Here is a 15452-nt window from a genome sequence, read left to right on the forward strand (position 1 = left end):
TTTTGGTTTTCAAAGCTGTCACGGAGCTGGGGCTCAGGAAATAGGACTGGGGAAGTTAATAGGTTGGTGCAAAAGTAATCACGGTTTTGGACTGTGAATTTTAAGTCATTATAACTAGGTTCGAAACATCTTTATTAATCAAAATAGGAACCATTACAATCAATACATTTTGGAACCACCACTGCACTGCTCCTGGCCAAATGCATTGTTGGTGTTGTGAGTTGTCTCTGCTCCTTTATGACGCATTTTGAACTTGAATTAAAAAAATTGCTTGAATTTGCTTTTTGTCTAACATCATTTCCATAGTCTAAAATAAATAGCAAGTAATGTCATTAGCAAAAAAGCATAACGTGAGAAATGCCCATTAAAATGATGTATCACATAACCACATTTATTTAAGAATGTATTCCAACATCAAATGGCAAATTCCAATGAGAAAACTGCAATTACATTTGCACCAACCTAACAAAACACCCAGAGCTCACTGTTCTTACCAAGATTCTGCCATTTTTATTAAATGAATGCTGCCTGGATTATTGCAAGACTTGGGTTAATTTCCAGATGTGTGAAAAAGTTGCTTCTGACAATTGTGCTGTTGTTCTAGTCACTTTTACGGAGAAGAGAATTTTTAGAGGTCCTTACTCTGCCATTTGTGTTGATGTCACCTAATAATGTTAACTTCTGGACCCAAATAATTCACCCATCCACAAATGCATTTTCCACCTAAAATGATTAGAAGTTCTGCTAAATCTGTTGTCCAGCTTTCCAGCCTGCCTGTCTGTTTTCTGTTCCTTGTAAAGGAACACAAGACTAGGAATTCTCAAAATAACACTTTTGAGACAGACCACCATGCTTTATCAAACACAGTGACATGCTGTAGTTTTAGGCTTTTCTTCACTTTTCTTAGCTTGGCAAGAGATCCATACTCAGTTCCCAATCCAGGTGCAAAATGACAAGTAAGGGGAAACTTTTAGGTTCATGTCTAAACAAAACTCAGGCTTACACAATCCAGGTGACTGGGTAAAGGGCTCTGCGCTGATCTTCAGGCATTGTGTCTGCTGCTTTCAGTGTTTCTTGCCCAGGATCAAGGACAATTTAAAGTCAAGTGGTTCCACAATTAATATTTTTAGTTATTTCCAGGAATTCCATTTCCAAGTTTGGCTCACTCTATGGCAAACCTGGAAATGGAATTCTTAAATAACTACAAAGACATCCTTATTCTGGGTCTTGCCATCTTTGGGTTTCAGGTATATGGTAGGCCTAGGTCCCTACCACTTGTGGAAGCATAAAATTACATTTTCATACATGTGTGTCCTGGTCTTCTTCCCTTAACCCCTTACTATTGCCCTGAGGAGCCATCGTCAGATCACTTCCTTATCTAGAACAATTCCATCTAATCACCTTCAAGGACAAGCAGTTCTCAGTGATGGTGATACACTTCAGAGGATTATCTGCCTCTATGTTATGGCTGTCACAGGGGTGGGAAGTCTATTGGGATTTAGTGCAATTGGACCAGGGATGTGAAATGATCTGTAATGTGCCAAACAGTCCTACATATTGAGGAATTCTCCTGTATTGACCGGATACGGTGGCTCATGACTGTAATCCCAGCACTTTGGAAGGCTGAAGTGGCAGGACTGCTTGGGACCAGCCCTGGCAACATAGCAAGGCTTTATCTCTATAACAAAATAAAAACATTAGCCAGGCGTGGTGGCACATGCCTGTAGTCCCAGCTACACAGGAGGCTGAGGTGAGAGGATCAGTTGAGCCTATGAGGTTGAGGCTGCACAGTGAGCTGTGATTGTACCCCTGCACTCCAGCCTGAGTGACAGAGTGAGACCCTGTCTCAAAAAAAAAAAAAAAAAAAAAGAATTCTTCTGCATTGCTTGCACATTCAATAGTCTTGCCAGATATTCATGTAGGTGAAAAACCTGTTTATAATTACATAATTATAAAAACTAGTCTATTTTGCTTGCAAAATGCAAAATGATTTTGTAATGTTTAATATAAATAGAAGGTGTTATGACTTTAACTGCCATGAAAATTAATAGATTGTTTGAACAAACTTTGTTTGTTCACAACTTTTCTAAATGTAATCAAGTCACCAAAAGCAGCACTTCTTAGGTGTCTGAGGGGCCAATATAATGCACTCACATTAGTCTGCATTTATAGCTACTGCATTAACAATGATTAATTCCTATTATCTTCTATTATAGCTATGCCGACATCCATAAATATTAAAATATACATTATTTTATAATAAATTCATTTCTTTTTATTTCTCCAATTATTTTGTTTACATTATATTGATAAAAAATGAATAAGTAACCCACTGTGGCAGTTATGGAGTGTAATTCCTGATTTTTCAGTTTTCTTTGCCTGACAAACACTAATTCATTTTAGTTTTAGTAGTTAATAAGCATAAATGTAGACCCCAAGGCGTTTTTTCTTGCTCTTCTAGTAGACTGAAATAATTACACTTGTCTTTCTACCCTGCCCCTGATCTGTTGGCTAACTAGGGGTCTCAAGTGGAGACACGGTCGCATTTTCTATTTTATCCAGAGATTTGTAATTGGCAACCCACATTCCACCAAGTGTTCTTTCCTCATTGAGCACCTCTCGTTGATCTCGACACATTGGTGGCGTGAACACATTCTCTCCCTCACAGAAAACTTAGGAATTAGGGGAAATGTGACATCAGAAGATCATCTACTTGTCTGGTTCTTCTTTGGAAACGTAATTTTCCATACGTGGTGATTCATAGGTAGATCTTTGGCTGTAGAACTCCTCTCCTAACAACGGGTTTCCTTAAAACTAAGTTCAGTTGGTGCAATTTTTGTCCTTATACTCCCCAAACAGCAGCTCCATAGATTGTGAAGCTGAAATTGTGACGTGTGTGCAAAATGCAAAGGATCATTATATTTGCATTTTTTTTACAATCTTTGGTGACAATGTAGTCATCATCAGTATTATAATCTTTGAAAGTGAAGACGCTAAAATAACTAGTGTGCACATCAGTGTTCAAAATGGTTAGAACGTGGGAAAAAAGCTAAAATTCCATCAATAAATGAATGTATTAAAACGTGTGACATATATATATATATATGAAATGAAATACTATTCCACCTTAAAAAGGAGTGAAATTCCGACACATGCTGTAACATAGATAAAACTTGAAAACACTCTGCTAAGTGAAAGAAAGCAGACACAAAAGGACAAATACTGTTCGATTCCACTTATACGAGGTACTCAAGGAGGCATGGTCACAGTCGTAGAACATAATAGAGGTTACCAGGGACTGAAAGTAGAGGGGACTGGGGAGTTATTGTTTAATGGGCACAGAGTTTCTGTTTGGGGATGATGAAAAAGTTCTGGAAATGGATATTGATGATGGTTGCACAACATCATGAATGTCATTAATGCCATTGAATCATATACTTAAAAATGGTAAATTTCATGTTATGTATATTTTAGCACAATAAGAGAACACAAAGAAAAATAAATTGTAAACCTAGTATGTTTTCCTGATTTAAATATTCTTCACAAATGAAACTGAAATGAACATTTTTCAGAAATAGAATAGAGAAAATTTGTGACCTGCAGGTCTGCACTAAAGAACAACTAAAGTTGCCGGGCACAGTGGCTCACGCCTGTCATCCCAGCACTTTGGGAGGCCGAGGCGGGAGGATCATGAGGTCAGGAGATGGAGACCATCCTGGCTAACACGGTGAAACCCCGTCTCTACTAAAAATACAAAAAACTAGCCGGGCGTGGTGGTGGGCACCTGCAGTCCCAGCTACTCGGGAGGCTGAGGCGGGAGAATGGCGTGAACCCGGGAGGCGGAGCTTGCAGTGAGCCGAGATCGCGCCACTGCACTCCAGCCTGGGGGTCCGTCTCAAAGAAAAACAAAACAAAAAAAAGAACTACTAAAGGTTTAAAAGAGGATGGAAATGTAGACATGCAGAAGGGAATGAAGAGCAATGGAAAGCGCAAGTGTGTGTGTAAGGAACTGTCACAGAATAAATATAAATATTTAAATATAAAAATATAAAAAATATTTATAAAAATATAAATATTTATTAAAAATATAAAGTTCAAAACCGGGCAATACTAGTTTATGGTGTTAGAAGTTAGGATAGTGGAAAACTTTGGAGATGATGGGATGTTAATAAAAGGGAGAGGAAGGAAGGGGGTTAGAGAGCTAGCTGTCTTCTATTTCTTCAACACTTGACAGTTACAGGGGTTTATTCACTTCGTGAGTAAATTCGCTGTGCTGCAGGCATACTCCGTGTGTGTGCGCTTTTCTGCATGTATGTCACGTTTTAATAAAAAGTTTTAAAAAATGGAATTGAATTGTTATTTGATCAGATAACTCTCAAAACCTGTCCTAACTACATTATAGTGGATGAGCCATCTTGAATCTTCAGGTGTGATCCACAGCAATTGACTGTTGTTAACCAGAGTGAGGTGCCAGTTGCTGCGCTGAGTTCCAAAGCTGCGCTTCTTGATAGCTGTGAACATCATGAGTATACACTGGAGTGCACATACTATAACATGCTATTGTTACCAAGCCATCATGAGGACGTACATTTGGAATGTTTCTACCTGGGATGACACATTTATACACATCTATTACCACATGCTTTCTAGTCTTCCATGTGTTGAAATAACTTGCATTATTCAGAAAAGGATATCAATTTCTGGTGTCATCTGGAAGGTTAAACAGAGTAAAGTCAAATAGCTGAATTGCGTATTGAACCTGTGATTAATTTTGTTCCTGTTCATAATAATGAGGTCATCTGAGAGCCACCTAATGGCCTGCCACCGCCCAACTAATTATCTAGAATTCCTACAATTGAAGACATTCTTCTCCATGAAAGGACTGTCTCTGGAACAAAATACAAATATCTGACATAAATGAGAGCAATAGGAAATTATTAGGCCGGGTACGATGCTTCATGCCTGTAATCACAACACTTTGAGAGGCTGAGGCAGGTGGATCAGCTGAGGTCAGGAGTTCGAGACCAGTCTGACCAACATGGTGAAACCCCATCTCTACTAAAAATACAAAAATTAGCCAGGTGTAATGGTGCGCCCCTGTCATCCCAGCTACTCAGGAGGCTGAGGCAGGAGAATCACTTGAACCAGGGAGGCAGAGGTTGCGGTGAGCAGAGATTGAGCCACTGCACTCCAGCCTGGGTGACAGAGCGAGACTCCATCTCAAAAAAGAAAAGAAAAGAAAAGAAAATTATTAGTACTTATTAGCATGCTTTAGTCTATTGGATTAGCTGGCAGAGCAAGCATTAATCGGAGGAATTGCCATCAGGATCAAGTATATTCATGAAGGGAGTAAAAGGTCTGCAGGATGAAGCAGTGCTCTAGAAGGGTGATGGCTGGGAGCTTTGGGAACTCAGAGAGCAGTCACTGGGGCCATAGATGTAAGAAGAGGTGGGCTGAGCAACACGGAACGAAGTGGTGCCTGGGGCATAATTGCACAGAGCGCAGGCTCCTGCATGTGACACTGTTGCATATCCTCAGTGCTTGAATGGACCACAGATATGTGCCCACCTTGCTGTCTGTACCCAATGGTCACACACACACTTGTGCTTTTCAACTCATATACCTTAGAAAATGAGGTGGAATAGGAATTTGGCTTCCTGAGAAGTAGTTCTCGAACTTACAAGATAATTTTGCTCTTGGTGCAGAAATGGATAACCTGTATATACTATTTCACTATTTCACAAGATGAATAATCAAAGAAATACATGAATGAAGTAATTTTCATCCTAAAGTAAACATTTGGTATTTACTATAATCTTAATTTAAAATCTATTTATGCAATTGCGATACTTAACGATGTAGTAGCAAGCAGATTTTTGATATTGTATTATTTTTTGAATAATTTGGATAATGGAATTGTGCTTTGGGTTTTCATAAATTATGACATGGTGACATTTCTTGGACATTCTCTGCATACTTAGACAAAGTTTTCAGGGATTTTAAAAAGCTAATGTTAATATCTAATTTTATGTTTTTTTTTATTTTTTGAGACGGAGTCTTGCTCTGTCGCCCAGGCTGGGGTGCAGTGGCGCGATCTTGGCTCACTGCAAGCTCCGCCTCCCGGGTTCACGCCATTCTCCTGCCTCAGCCTCCCGAGTAGTTGGGACTACAGGCGCCCACCACCATGCCCGGCTCATTTTTTTGTATTTTTAGTAGAGACGGGGTTTCCCCGTGTTAGCCAGGATGGTCTCGATCTCCTGACCTCGTGATCTGCCCACCTCGGCCTCCCAAAGTGCTGGGATTACAGGCGGAAGCCACCGTGCCTGGCCTAATTTTATTTATTTTATTTTTTTTTGTTTGTTTGTTGTTGTTTTTAATGAATGAATGATTGATAATATTACTAAGAAATCTGAAAGAAAGTAATTTCAATGAGATAACCACTTCTTATAGGTACTTTGTTTTCAAATCAATCACACATAACATTCGAATTAGCTTTAAAAGGTCAATTGGTAGGCCAGGCGCGGTGGCTCACGCCTGTAATCCCAGCACTTTGGAAGGCTGAAGGAGGTGGATCACCTGAGGTCAGGGGTTTGAGACCAGCCTGGCCAGCATGGTGAAACGACCATCTCTGCTAAAAATACAAAAATTAGCCAGGCGTGGTGGCACATGCCTGTAGTCCCAGCTGCTCGGGAGGCTGAGACAGGAGAATTGCTTGAGCCCAACAGGCAGAGGTTGCAGGGAGCTGAGATCTCACCAAGAGGCAGAGTTTGCTGTGAGATGAGATCATACCACTGCACTCCAGCCTGGATGACAGAGTGAGACTCTGTCTCAAACAAACAAAAAGGTGCCGGGTGTGGTGGTTCATGCCTGTAATCCCAGCACTTTGGGAGGCCGAGGCGGGAGGATCACCTGAGGTCAGGAGTTCGAAACCAGGCTGGCCAACATGGTGAAACCCCGTCTCTACTAAAAATACAAAAATTAGCCAGGTGTGGTGGCACACGCCTATAATCCCAGCTACTCGGGAGGCTGACGCAGGAGAATGGCTTGAGCCCGGGAGGCTGAGGTTGCAGTGAGGTGAGATCATACCATTGCACTCCAGCCAGGGCAACAAGAACGAAACCCCATCTCAAAAAAAAAAAAAAAAAAAAAAAAAAAAGTCAATTTGTGAATATAGATAAAATAAATATTTAAAAATCTATTTTGTATGTAGCCTTCAACATCTTTTACTTCATAGGTGCTCAATAAATATTTATTGAGTGCTCTCCAGAATGAATAGACACCTGAGAGAATTATCTTGAAATAATCATATAGATCAGGCAAATGGTTTATTTACTTGAATTATCTGAATGCCTTCATTCTTTCTTCAGTTTTCTTTTTTTATGCTTAAGATACAACTGGAACAGCATAAATTTTAAAAAGAACATTAAGTCACCACGACACGATAATAGAGAGTAATGGTTACAAGTAGCAGTTTTTCTTAGGACTGAAATCAAATCTGTTGAAAGGACAACTTGGCAGACTTTTGCAACTAAAGATGTTGGTAGAAGAAATGTAAAGCTCCATTCTACTTAGCTTGGAGTGTTCCCATGCTGGGCAATTGGCAAGCTTTATCATCTGTAGAGACTGGTAAACTGTGGCTCACATTAACTGTTAAGCTTCACTGTATGCTGCTTACACAGGTGCAAAAATATGTGATAACTAGAATTGTTTTCATTCAATCAGTCTCCCCATTGGCAGATAGTGGAGTAGCTCTATATTATGTTTACTCTGAAAAATATAGCAATTTAGTTAATAATGAATCCAAAGTTCATAGGCACCCAGTTCTTAATCATAGATCATTTCATTGATCATTCTTAGCTTTCATAAGCTTATAAATGTAAACACCGTGGCTAGTCTGTTTTCTAGGAAAATGTTTTTCTGTGAGCTAAATCAAAACTGGTTGGCATTATTTTTCATGGCATGAATTTCTATATGGGATTCCTGGTGTGAATTCATTATTGAGAAACAAAATGCTAGCAGAGGGGGAAATATTGCTTTTGCATTTGTTTGCATTTTTAGTTTTTTTTTCCATTTTGACATCACTGTTTTCATTATGGACCTTATATATTAAAAAAACAATTTTCACTTAGTATTCATTTCTGTTTAATTCTGTATGTAATTCCTCTACATGTTTAAATTTTGAGATTTAATTGTCAAAAGAATAACTTTTCTTCAAAGTAATGAGCATGCAATTTTAGGACCTGCCTTAGTTACACAGTCTAAATTATCAAATTTAAGCCATATCTCTCCCAAATTTCAGATTAGAACATACTACGTTTTGTTACTATAAAAAGCTTCTTATTAAACATCTGAACTTAAGCAGTTTATTATGTACTCTACAACATAAAATATATAAAATATAAATTTAAGGAAAAACATAAGCAGTTTATTATGTACTCTACAACATAAAATATATACAATATAAATTTAAGGAATATTTGTTAGATATTAATGTCTAATATCTAACAATGTAGACACATGTACAATATAATGTCTAATGTACACTTTTCTCATGTATCTTTCATTCTTTTTTTTTGAGACGGTTTCTCCCTCTGTCGCCCAGGCTAGAGAGCAGTGGTGTGCTCTCGGCTCACTGCAACCTCCACCTCCTGGGTTCAAGCAATTCTCTGCCTCAGCCTCCCGAGTAGCTGGGATTACAGGCACCCGCCACCAGGCCCGGCTAATTTTTTTGTATTTTTAGTAGAGATGGGGGCCTCACCATCTTGGCCAGGCTGGTCTTGAACTCCTGACCTCATGATCCACCCACCTTGGCCTCCCAAAGTGCTGGGATTACAGGCATGAACCACTGTGCCCGGCCAAATCTTTCATTGTTAATTTACCCTCTTTGCAGTACGGTACACGTACCATCAACTGTGCTTCCACCTTCCAATTGGGAGATGCTCTGTTTTACCTTTTCCAGATAGTACCTAGCAGGGGGAGCCTGTTGGGCAGAGGTCCCCAACCTTTTTGGTACCAGGGACCAGTGTCGTGGAAGAGAATTTTCCACAGATGGGGGCAGTGGGGGATGGTTAGGGGATGATTCAAGTGCATTACGTTTATTGTGCATTTTATTTCTATTATGATTACATTGTAATATATAATGAAATAATTATATAAGTCACCATAATGTAGAATCAGCAGGAGCCTTGTGCTTGTTTTCCTGCAACTAGATGGTCCCATCTAGGGGTGATGGAGACAGTGACAGATCATCAGGCATTCGATTCTCATAAGGAGCACACAGTTTAGATCCCTTGCATGTGCAGCTCACCATAGGGTTCATGCTCCTCTGAGAATCTAGTGCTGCCTCTGATCCGACAGGAGGTGGAGCTCAGGTGGTAATGCGAGCAATGGGGAGCGGCTGTAAATACAGATGAAGCTTTGCTCGGCAGCCCGCCGCTCACCTCCTGCTGCGTGGCCTGGTTGCTAAAAGGCCACAGACTGGTATCAGGCCACAGTGGGGGCTGGGGACCCCTGCTCTAGGGATTAAGTGCTTCTGAAACAGCTTCTACTCAGCTTTCCTTATGGTAGTCGTACCTTTATCCTGGGGTCCGGAAATGCCAGGTGCTGCCCATTGCCATGCCTTTTTAAGATTCTAGAGAGTAAATTGGGTTGGTTTATGGTTTTCTCCATTGCTACTTTGAGTTTTAACTTTCTCAGGTTTTCAAAGTCAGTTACCATTCCTTTGCTTTCTAAACTTTAACTTTATATCCTTCCCAGAACAAAATGTTTGAAAATGACTGTTGAACAAACATGTATTTTGGATACATTCATTTCTTTGATCTCAAAAGTCTGTTTTATTTTTTTAATAGCTTTGTTAGTGAATGCATGTGTTGGCACAGGAGTTGCAATGTCAAATGCCTACAGGGGCCAGGCACGTGTTTTGGCTCCTCTCAAAATCCTGAACAGGTCAGGGTCAGAGTCAGTTAAGTTTGGAAGAATCCCAGAGCAATAAAACTTGTGTCCCATTTGGGACCTTATGGGAGGAGAACACTTGTTTCAGGCCAGAAGTTAGCAGCTGTGGGGGTTGAGGGGTGGTAGAGATGACCATGTGACACAAGGTGGTGAGACAGAGGGTCTGAGGGTCCCCACCCTGCTGGTTCCCCATGGTTTGAACCTGAGGGGACAGTTTCAGAAGTTCCTGTACGTCCCCAGTGGGGGACATGGAAAGTAGGTGAGAGATGCAAGTCAGGAGCATTGCCATGGGCACCCTGGGTGAGAGGCAAGGTAACGCCATGCAGAGCCTGCAAGGTAGGCTGCCTGCGCCAGGGCCAGGCAGAGTGCATGTCTCAGACAGAGGATCCATGACTCCAGGAAAGCTGAGCTGAGAGTTTTGGAGGTGGTAGTGGAGGTGTTATTATTGCCTGGCCTCAACTATGTCAAGAAAACAGACCACAGATCACAAGTGAAACCAAGGATTTCAACAGTGGATACAAGCAGGACCCCAGGAGACCAGCAGCCCCTGCCTTCCTTAGGAAGTCGTCTAAATTGTTTCTTCCTGGAGATGCCATCTTGGGAAGAGGAGGAGGTGGTGAACCATTGAGCCTAAGAAACAGCAGTGATGGACTTTGAACCTTCAATTTGACTGAATATTGATCTGAAAGAGATATTTAAATTGAAAGAGTCTCTGTTGAAGCAAGTGAAACTTTTAATTTGAAAGAGACTGAACTACCTTTAACTAGCAAATTTCAACGCTTCTATCATCAGAAATTTTGTGCTCATAAGAAAGAGTAATGAGTTATAAAACCTGAAGAAGCCACATTTATCTTAAAATATTTGTTAGTGTACATGTTAAAATATGATTGGGTTCTCTCATTGAAATGTTGATTTTATTTGAATTCAATGAATGCCACTTCATTAGGTATTTTTTAAATCTTTTATGTATTTATTATGTTTGTTGCATCGAGTGGCATAATTGTTTGAATACAAAACTAAAGAAATTCAGGGAATTTCTCCCTAACATGCACTGTAATAGTTAAAACACATACAGACAACTGCAGATTATGTTAGAATACAAGATTGTTATTTGCTATTTACCACAATTGCAAAATCAACTTGTCAAGGAAAGACAATTAGAGTCCTTCAAATATCTTGATGTTTATGTGTTTGATGGCTGTAATATACATGTAAATTGTGGAGTATGACATACAAAAAATTATTGCTTTAAATATCATTATTGCTAGCCCCAAAAAGAGTTGCAAAACATAGCTAAGTGTATGTTTTTTTCACATAGCAGGCATTTGCCTCCCATTCCTTTTCCTCAATAAACAATAGGATAAAGGTCTAAAGCCTTGACTTTAGATTTGGAGTTGACAATCTGCACAATCCTTCTGCCCAAAGCCATGAATGTCTTCTCGTGTAAGTGCGCGTGGGTGGGTGCGTGCGTGCGTGCCACGCCTGCAGAGACTTAAGCTTTGGGATACAGAGTGACCGTGTCATAGCCCTCTGGGGGCTTTGTGCGGGCTCTTGCGTGGGTTTCGCAGTACAGCTCCCCTTCTATGAAGAAGTAGCCCTTTTGCTTGAGGTTGAGGTTGCAGTCGGCACACACGAAGCACTCAGGGTGCCGGTACTTATCCCGCGCCTTCACCACAGCACCGCTGTTGGGGAAGAAAACGAGCTCAAGTTAAAAAACCACAGAGCAAAAATATGAGACAAAGGAGAGAACCCAACAGAGAAGGCAGATGTTCTCTATTTCACAGTCAGGAAACAATGGCCTCCAGCTGTGAAAGCAGGCACAGCCGTGAAACTGTATGTAATTGTCATGGAGATCTAGGATATCCACAATAAACCATCCCGTGTTTCTCTCTGATGTTGACGTGTGACTATTTTTCAGATTTTCAAACAAGTACTTTATAGAAAATTTGTAGGATCCTACTTCATGATCTTTCCCCATCGTTTCTTTGAAGAGGGAGACATGATGGAGACAAGACCAACCCCTCTGCAAAAGATTCTGCTTTTGACGGGGGTGGTTGTCTACCCAATGAAGAGTCTCTCTGATTGCTTTCCGTCTGCGTGGTCCAGCCTCTATTCAATGGAGCAAGAGAAAACAGATCAAAGACGACCGGGCGTGGTGGCTCACGCCTGAAATCCCAGCACTTTGAGAGGCCAAGGCGGGCAGATCACAAGGTCAGGAGATCGAGACCATCCTGGCTAACACGGTGAAACCCCATCTCTACTAAAAAAATACAAAAAAATTAGCCGGGCGTGGGCACCTGTAGTCCCAGCTACTCGGGAGGCTGAGGCAGGAGAATGGTGTGAACCCGGGAGGCGGAGGTTGCAGTGAGCCGAGATCGCGCCACTGCACTCCAGCCTGGGCGACAGAGCGAGACTGTCTCAAAAACAACAACAACAATAACAACAAAAACAAAACAAAACAAAAAACCAGATCAAACAGCAGAGATGGAATTCCTTTGGGGTGGGTGGATTGGCTTCTACTGTGAACAGTTTATTCCAACTTAGGCACAATGATTGCTTCTGGTAACGTCAGGCACTGTTGTATTTTACTGAGGGCCTCTCTGCTCCGAGCTCCCTGCCCTGCTTTGACCTTTTGGTCTCACGTTCCTCCTTTTGCCCTAACCAGGCTTATCCCCCACTGCCTTCTTGGGATGTATCCTGGCTAACCGGACAGAGGACACATCAGTGTGTGAGTTCATGGCAGGAGGAATGGAATAAGGGAATGGGGACGTGGCCACATGGCACGAATGCCATGGAGATGTTAGAATTATCTTGGTTGACTTGATCCTGCACTAGCAAGTGTGGCTATTTAAACATAAGGTCCCTGCCGGGCACGGTGGCTCACACTTGTAATCCCAGCACTTTGGGAGGCCGAGGCGGGTGGATCACCTGAGGTCAGGAGTTTGAGACCTGCCTGGCCAACACGGTGAAACCCCCTCTCTACCAAAAATACAAAAATTAGCCAGGTGTGGTGGTGGGTCCCTGTAATCTCAGCTACTGGGGAGGCTGAGGCAGGAGAATCGCTTGAACCTGGGAGGTGGAGCTTGCAGTGAGCCAAGATTGCGCCACTGCACTCCAGTCTGGGTGACAGAGCAGGGCTCTATCTCTGAATAAATAAAAGTTCCCTTGTAATGGAAGCTGACAGTTTTTCAATATTTTGTTTCAACATTTGTGTAACTTACACTGGGTAAGGATAATGTATTTTAAGTAACATCCTGTTGCCTGTATTTGTTTCCCTGTGTTTATACAGAGGAGGATACTATGTATACTAAATGTATACACAGTTCATGTATGCATTTACTAAACACTATACGTTAACAGGGGTGGGGGAGTTTAAAGTGAAGTCTTGATTCTTAGACGTGACTTTTCAACATACATTTGGGCATCTTTTTTTTTTCATGAGAATCTATCTGAAATTGTAAGTCAAAATTGCTGACTCATGTGATGTGACAATTTGGAGGTATATCTAAGGAGTGACAGTCACAATGTGCTAAATGTTGGGGACCTTACGTTTCAAGTTGATGAATAGAAATTTGGTTTTCACAGTTGCCTTTAGTCTATAAAGTCTTAAAGGAGAAGAAATGAACTGTCGCCAAGCTGTATCGTAAATTCCAGGGTTAAAAGTGAAACTTACACTATGCCACTCCCACATTTGTCACAGAGCGGCATCCTCTGTGCCCCGCCTGAACCGCCATGGACTTTCGTCACCGGAGCTCTCACACTCCGCGTTCCAGCCGGACGGTCATCTGAAAAACAAAGCGTTTCCATTTATGGCTAGGGAACAGCTGGCCGCAGCCTGTGCTTGGCTTCTATTTTAAAGTGTGCACTTTAACCTGAAGTTGCATCTGCACCGTCATTCCGAGAGGGGCAGGACTGATGCAATCATAAGGGACGCTGTTCTGAAATAGGGCATTATAGAATGGAATTAGTGAAAACATTTATTTTGTTGTGGTTGGAGGAAACTGTTACAAAAACGCTCAAAGGAGCAGAGGGCATTATTATTTTTTATTGTAGCAAAATATACATAAAATTTACCATTTTCACCATGGTTAGGGGTGCAATTCAATGACATTAGGTACATCCAAAATGTTGTGCAAGCACTGCCAATATCCACCTCCAGAACTATTTCTTCACCTCACAGAACCTCTGTACCCATGAAACAGTAACTCCCCACCCATGAAACAGTAACTCCCCGTGCTCCTGCTCATAGCCCCTGGTAACTTTCATTCTACTTTCTGTCTCTTGGATTTGCCTATTCTGGATCTCTCAAATAAATGGAATCATACAATATTTGCCTCTTTGTGTCTGGCTTCTTTCACTTCACATAATGTTTGCAAAGTTCATTCATGGTGCGCCGTGTGTCAGAATTTAATTTCTTTGAAGACTGAATACTATTTCATTGTATGTGTATACTACATTTTGCTTATCCATTCATCAGTCAATGGACATTGGGTGTTTTCCCTCTTTGGGCTATTGTGAATAAGATAAATGCTGGCATACAGGCTGGGCGTGGTGGCTCACGCCTGTAATCCCAGCACTCTGGGAGGCCGAGGCGGGTGGACCACGAGGTCAGGAGTTCGAGACCAGCCTGGCCAAGAGGTAAAACCCCGTCTCTACCAAAAATACAAAAATTAGCCGGGCGCGGTGGTGGGTGCCTGTAATCCCATCTACTTGGGAGGCTGAGGCAGAAGAATCACTTGAACCCGGGAGGCAGAGGTTGCAGTGAGCCAAGATTGTGCCACTCACTCTAGCCTGGGCAACAGAGCAAGACTCCATCTCAAAAAAGAAAAAAAAAAAAATAAAGAATCTGTTTGAGTCCCTGCTTTCAAGTGTTTTGGGGTATATTCCTAGGAGTGGAGTTGCTGGATCACATGGTAATTCTGTGTTTAACTTTTCCAGGAGCTGCCATCCTCTCCCAGGGTTGCTCTATGTTACCTTCCCATCAGTAATGCACAGGGTTCCCATTTCTCCATATCCTCACCAATACTTGTTATTCTCCATGTCTGCCACAATAGCCACCCTAATGGGACATTTTGCATTTTTGTGTGGCTTTTAAAGGACAGTCTATATCTTTTGGGCATGGAGAAGCCTAGGTCAGGGCAGGAGCCCTGAAGATGACGGGAGTGGGCTGGAGACCCAGGTCTGTGGCTCACTGGCTATGTGGCCTTTCACAAGGCCACCCGCCCATCTCTCAGCGTCTCATTTGCTAAGTAGGGCAAATAATAGGCTCACCTCCCCAAGTTCCTGTGAGGATTACATGATACTGTATGCAAAATACTTTGCACAGAACATGGAACACAGTAAGGGTTTTTAGAGCATTGTTTAGTTTTTGATGATGGTGATACTCCAGAGTGTGGGGGGGAGGCTGAGAAGTTTGACAACATTCATTTAAAATGATATCTCATGATTTGTAAGCTGAGCTAGCCCTTGACTACCATTAATGCAATTTGTCTTTGGTGTCC

At 41.6% G+C, this 15452-nt stretch overlaps 1 protein-coding gene across 5 annotated transcripts in view, besides 1 other annotated feature; it reads right to left on the reverse strand.

Moving 5' to 3' along the window:
* Positions 9810-15452, reverse strand: part of PDLIM3 (PDZ and LIM domain 3) — a 34848-nt gene continuing 29205 nt past the window's right edge. For all 5 annotated transcript variants that reach the window (NR_047562.2, NM_001257963.2, NM_001257962.2 and 2 more), the window contains 2 exons: positions 13625-13736; positions 9810-11633 (listed from right to left, as the gene is read on the reverse strand). Coding sequence is in view for 4 of the 5 variants with exons in the window: in NM_001257963.2 (NP_001244892.1) it covers positions 11444-11633; positions 13625-13736 (302 nt within the window). In the remaining variant the exon portion in view is untranslated. The remainder of the gene's footprint in view (positions 11634-13624; positions 13737-15452) is intronic.
* Positions 11451-11950: an enhancer, noted in NCBI's record as "H3K4me1 hESC enhancer chr4:186423455-186423954 (GRCh37/hg19 assembly coordinates)". NCBI's record gives its function as "activates a minimal SCP1, AML or CMV promoter by ChIP-STARR-seq in naive H9 embryonic stem cells {active_cell/tissue: H9 hESC(naive)}" and the evidence as "EXISTENCE:reporter gene assay evidence [ECO:0000049][PMID:30033119]".

The sequence above is a fragment of the Homo sapiens genome, chromosome 4 (genome assembly GCF_000001405.40).
Source record: "Homo sapiens chromosome 4, GRCh38.p14 Primary Assembly".
Taxonomy (NCBI): Eukaryota; Metazoa; Chordata; class Mammalia; order Primates; family Hominidae; genus Homo; species Homo sapiens.